The sequence below is a fragment of the Homo sapiens genome, chromosome 18 (genome assembly GCF_000001405.40).
Source record: "Homo sapiens chromosome 18, GRCh38.p14 Primary Assembly".
Classification (NCBI taxonomy): domain Eukaryota; kingdom Metazoa; phylum Chordata; class Mammalia; order Primates; family Hominidae; genus Homo; species Homo sapiens.
In genome coordinates this window covers 51,556,908-51,562,907 of record NC_000018.10, presented here as the reverse complement: position 1 = coordinate 51,562,907, position 6,000 = coordinate 51,556,908, and the positions used below count along the sequence as shown (strand labels likewise).

Here is a 6,000-nt window from a genome sequence, read left to right as displayed (position 1 = left end):
GATATATTATGCTATATACTAAGATGGTAAAACCCATAATTTCTGCAGTATTAGGAGGAGAGATCATAAAACTTGTATAGAAGCAGGTGGTGCCTAAAACTATCTTACATTCCTCAGCATGAAAATAAGGGTAGTGTGTTAGTTTCCCAGGGCTGCCATAATAAAGTGCTACAAACTGGGTGACTTAAGACAACGGAAATTTATTCTCTCACAGTTCTGGAGGCTGGAAGTCTGAAATCAAGGTGTCAGCAGGGTTGACTCTCTTCAAGGGCTCTGTGAGGGCATCAGTACCCATGCTTCTGTCCTGGTGATGGCTGGCAATCCTTGGCATTCCCTTGGCCCATAGATGCATCACTCCAACTGCTGTCCCCAGCATCCCATGACACTGTTCCTGTGTTTCAACACATCATCTTCACTCTGCGTGTGTCTCTCTTGTTTATATAAGGACCCCAGTCATACTGGATTCAGGGTTCAGCCTAATCAAATATGACCTCATCTTAACTTGGTTACGTCTGCAAAAACCTATTTCCAAGTAAGGTCATATCCACAGGTACCAAAGGTTAGCACTTCAAAACATGTTTTTGGGGACACAATTTAACCCATATCAGGTAATATCTTTCCTGTCTACTTGTTCTTAAGGAGAGTAGATGTTAAAACACACAAACTTGTAAACTTTGTGTATACGTGTATACACTTTGTGTTTTTTAAAAACCTTTTGTCTTCTATTTTCCTCAAAAGTACGGGCTGTAAAAGATATACCCTGGGCCCCGTTCCAGTTCCTCCTTAGAGCCTGTGTTGTTTCCTCAGAAACCCAAGCTGTGTATGTGGCACAGCAAGTAATGTCCAGAGAGCAGCTTTCCCAAGGTCAGGCTTGACCTCACATGCATCCAGGCTCTCAGCCAACACAAGTGGCACCCCAGCCCCCAGTGCTCTGTCATCTTTTTGTGATGGTGAGTTCCTTCTGCGGTATGTGTGCGCTGCTGTGAAGGATTGGAGAGGCATCTGAAGGAGACTGGAAAATGAACTTTGGCTTCCTTTAAGGAATTTAAAAGATGGAAAAGTCCTTGCCTCTCTACACTTGCTGCTTTTCTTTCTGAATCTCAGCCACGTTTGCCACTTCCCTTTAGCCTCCCAGTAACCCCTTGTGGCTCTGACCATGAGAGCGCTGAAGTTCAGAGACCACCTCACCCACTTGAGATTACCAAATAGTGGCAGAAAGTGGGGCTTGGGCGCAGAAGGTATATTTTTCAGGTTGAGAACTTTCTGTTACATGCTTCAGCTCTGCAGAGAATGACTCTTCCCAGAAATATAATTGGAAAGGTAGGGTCCATAGGGTTTCTGGGTCTGCAGTTTAGATAAGAATACCAAAATCTAGAAAACATGAAAGATGGATCCTGTGAGGAGTTTCAGTGAGTCTAGTAACTCGAATGAATTCTGGTGTTAGCTCATAGCCTTACTGCCTATTAAAATGAAACCTTTCTTAGCAGGAATCAGATTCAAGTTCAACTCATTATAGTTTGCTCAGAGTGAGCCACAGGTCTAGAGCACCGGGTTTGATTGAAATACCAGGAAGCTGTTTGGTCTCTTCCAGTCCACATGTAATTAAATATCTATAGGGTGCCAGTGTCGCTATCCCCTGAGCACTGTGGAGGCTACATCAGAAGCCCAGGACTCCACTTCTTTCCTCAAGGAGTTTAGAATATCATGGGGAGGCCTGATTTGTACACCTAAAATAAAGAGTTTTAAATGTTAGCATAAAACAAAACATATCAAGGGTCAACAAGTACAGCAGTAGGATCCACAGGCAGTCGGCATAAGGAGAAACCAGTGTCTAATGGAGGTAAAGGAAAGACTTTCTTTGGAGTCAGTCCTGCCCATCCCAGCTTTGCCTGGCTACAGCTTCTGGTAAACCCTCAACTTGCAAATCCAGAACAATTCCATCTATTATCTCAGTTTTTCTTGAACTTTTTGACCACAACACATAATTAAAAAACTACTTTCTATGACAATTCAGTACTCACCTACAAAAACATAAAGAAGCAGTATTCTTCTGGATGGGTTTCTTCATTTCTCTAGATTCAGTGTCCATCCTGCTTTTCTCCCCAGGTAGCAGATGCAAGGGGACCACGTCAATGGGCTCTGTTGCCCTCCAGCCAAAGGTGGGTTTGGCCAAAAGGAGGCACCATTAGGAGATAGGGATGGCAGGAGGGGAGTGGTATTGGGGCATGTTGCATGCCAGCTCCCACTTGCCAGCTGGTGTGTGATGTCTGCCTCCCTCTTCCAGAGATCCCAGCATTCACCAAGCAGGTCAGCACCTGTAGATAACAAAGCCAGGGAGATGAGGCTTTGAGCCACTAGATTTGGAACTGCTGAGCACATTGTTTGGAGGCTAACTTCCTAGGTGGGCCAGTGCCTCCGTTCTAACAATACTCAGCCAAAATTTCTTATTCTCCTGGCTAACTGATTCAAGGAAGCATGAGGTGTTAAACCATGAAGCAAGGAAGATGGGTCCTGAAGAATGGAAAGGGTTTTGAAAAGTGAAAGAAATCATAAAAAAAAAAAAAAAAAAAAAGACACAAGGTAGCCCTGTTCTTTAATCAAGCAACTCATTTGATTTGATGCTCAGATTGGCAATAGCATCCCCTTTGAAGGTCTGTGAAAGCAAAAAGAACATCTTTCTTGCATGACTCTCAATATTTCTAAGACTAATTTCTCTTATATACTGAACAATGTCTCCCTGTAAAAATAAAAAGTGCTACTCACTTCTTTCAAAGATTATTTCATGAAATTGGCTATTCATAGGAGTCTAGCTCCATCTCCTGTTCAGGAGCACTGGGGCGTATCTAACCTCTGTGCCAGTGGCTGGGCTTTCTCAATCAACCTGTTGTATGTTGCTGTTGTATCTGACTTTGCAAAGAGCAGCCTCACATACATAGAGCTGAAGGTAACTGGTTGGCATTTTTATGAGCTTTTATTCTTTATTGCATTGCTTTAATCTAAGAAGAAAAAAGTGAATTTAAGGTTTTATAATCCTAATAACCCATGTTGCATTTATTATACATCCAGCCCATAAGCCTCTGATCATGAATATTGACTATCCTGAGTAATGACAAGGGGAGACAGTGGTTGGTTGAGCCTTCCGAATGTTGGCAGCTGAAGAAAGCTGTGGTTTTCATGTGGTCTGCATGTCTCATCAGCACTGAGGAGAGCGGTCAAGCCAGAGAAGAAAGCTGCTTCCCTTCCCCTGTGGAATGGAGACTGTGCAGCCCTGCCCTCTCTGGCAACCATCTCATCTGAAAACTGTTGAAGTAGATGAAAAGAATCTGAAAATTTCCTTGAAGAAGATTATGCCCATCCACAGGATTTTGAGCCACTTTCATTGGCTTGGTGTGGCAGTCTTCCCTCCATAAAAAGTATAAGTCACCTGGAGCCTGCATTGTTTCCTCTTTAAATGCTTTTATCTGGCTCCCCATGATGAGCCATTAGCAGCACTGTAAAGTGATGCAAGCTACCTAGTGGAAGTAAAGTGGACCTTGACATCTGAAGCATAGATTTGAGTCTTGGCCCATTCCCCACTGCCTTGTGAACCTGGGCTAGCCATTAAGAAGACTGAGCTTTTATTTTCTTGTTATAATTCAGAAATAATAGCAATATTTCACTTATGGGTTTGTTATGCAAGTTAAATGAGTGTTTGGAGGTTGGTCCTAGAGAGGAGTTTGGGTCATGGGGACAAATTCCTCAGGAATAGATGAATACCCTCTCATGGGGGTGAGTGAGTTCTGTCTCTCTCACAGGAATGGATGAGGTCCCACACGAATGAACTGTTAAAAAGAGGCTGGCTTCCTCCGCTTTTCTCGCTTGCTTCCTCTTGTGCCGTGTGATCTCTTTGCACTTGCCTGCTTTCCCGCTTTCCACCATGAATGGAAGCAGCCTGAGGCCCTCACCAGAAGTAGCTGCTCAATCATGAACCTTGCAGCCACCAAAATCATGAACTAAACAAATTTCTCTTTATAAATTGCCCAGCCTCAGGCATTCTGTTGTAACAACACTAAACGGAGTAAAACAGGGGATAATCCTTAGATTAAGGGAAGACCCTTAATCCAGATGCACTATTAAATGTAAAAGAGTAGCAATCCCCAACCTTTTTGACACCAGGAATGAGTTTCACAGAAGACAATTTTTCCACAGATTTGAGGGTGGGATGGTTTCAGGACGATTCAAGCGCATTACATTTATTGTGCACTTTATTTCCATTATGATTATGTTGTAATAGATAATGAAATAATATACACCTCACCATAATGCAGAATCAGTGGGAGCCCTGAGTTTATTTTCCTGCAACTAGATGTTCCCATCTGCGGGGTGACAGGAGACAGTCACAAATTATCAGACATTACATTCTCATAAGGAGCACACAACCTAGACCCCTCACATGTGCAGTTTACAATAGGGTTCATGCTCCTGTGAGAATCTAATGCCACCAGTGATCTGACAGGAGGCAGAGCTCAGGCAGTAATGCTCACTCACCTGCCACCCACCTACTGCTGTGCGGCCTGGTTCCTAAGAGGCCACAGACCAGTACTGGTCCATGGCCCAGGGGTTGCAGACTCCTGTAAAAGAGCGGCACAGGCAGTGGAAATTGCAAGATCGTTCAGGGTAGCTCCAGTAGCTGAAGATGCTGAGAGAGCAGGTGTATATAAAAGTGTGGTAGAAAGTGAAGAATGACAGGCAGGCAAGGACCAGTCCACGATAGCTAGAAAACTAGTTATGAAAGCCCCCAATAGGGTGGCAATTGAGCCATGGGTATACATGAGATTGTCCAGGGAGAATATGTGGGATTTAAAAAAAAAAAAAAGGAAAAGTCATGAGAATTAAATCATTTGGAATATTCAGATTGAATGGAAAAGTGAAGAAAAAGTTATTCACAATGGATACTTGAGAATTAGTGTCATAAAGTCAGAAAATGAGACTTAAAGAAAAGAAACCACCTTGGAAAGTGTAGCAGGGAAATTGCATAAGACAAGAATTAATGGTATCTGTTGGGTTTGGCTTTTAGGTAGTCTCTGGCAGTCTGGAGCAAAAGCAGTTTGAAATGGTGATCGTGAAAGCCTGATTTCAGAAGTTTAAAGATAAAACAGAAGATTAAAATCTGGAGGTCATGAAAGAAGCAATATTTTCAAGTGAAGAAAAGAAAGAATGTGTTAATAGATAGGTTACTGAGTAGAAAGAGGTTTACCAAAACCATAGAGACACGAGTCTATTTATAGAATTCAATAGAAATGGGATAATTTAAAACACAAGAAAAAGAGAGGGATAAAAAGAAAGAGGTAACTTTATGTTGCTCTCCAGAAACTCTGGAACTACCATGAAGGTGACTCTGAACTCACACTCTGAACATCTCTGCCTATTCCTTCTACCAAGCTATAACTAATGTGTCTATCCTTCTGCCAAAAACTTCGGCATAACTGCTATCCCATCAAACATACATAAAGGCCCTAATGTCAAGGTGTAGTAAAGACATAGAGTGCTTAGTGGTCCAGAAGCAGCAGGCCAGGAAGGTGGAGGAGGACAGAAGCAAGAACAACTTCCAGAGAGGAGGAGGAGAAGAGCTGCAGGAAACAGGCTTCTGTTCCCATGACCTTTAACCTTCTGCTAATTGCAGTAAGTGCATTGTGTGCCAGGTGGGGAGGATGCCAACAAAAAACAACAACAAAAACAAACACAAACACACACAAAACCATAGTCTTTTGGGCCGGGAGAACCTAAAAATTGAGTCTGGAGAATTATGACTGTGAAAGAGTGAGGGTGGGGAGCAGTCCCAACAGAGAAAGGGCCAGAAATGTGGTCTCCAAATTCCATCTATACACATTGCTGACTGACTCCTGAATCATACATTTGGGGAAAAAAAAAAATCCCCTCAAAGCAGCTCTGCTAAAGACAAAGATCTTAAATTGAGTCTACACTGCATGAGAAACAGAGTTTGTAACACAGGACCAGCCA

General features: G+C 42.8%; 1 long non-coding RNA gene across 1 annotated transcript in view; it reads right to left on the bottom strand.

Moving 5' to 3' along the window:
• Positions 1-438: 438 nt before the first annotated feature.
• Positions 439-6,000, bottom strand: part of LINC01630 (long intergenic non-protein coding RNA 1630) — a 170,428-nt gene continuing 164,866 nt past the window's right edge. Inside the window, exons 2-3 of the long non-coding RNA NR_040074.1 lie at positions 2,022-2,315; positions 439-1,727 (exon numbers count right to left, since the gene is read on the bottom strand). This is a non-coding gene — a long non-coding RNA (long intergenic non-protein coding RNA 1630). The remainder of the gene's footprint in view (positions 1,728-2,021; positions 2,316-6,000) is intronic.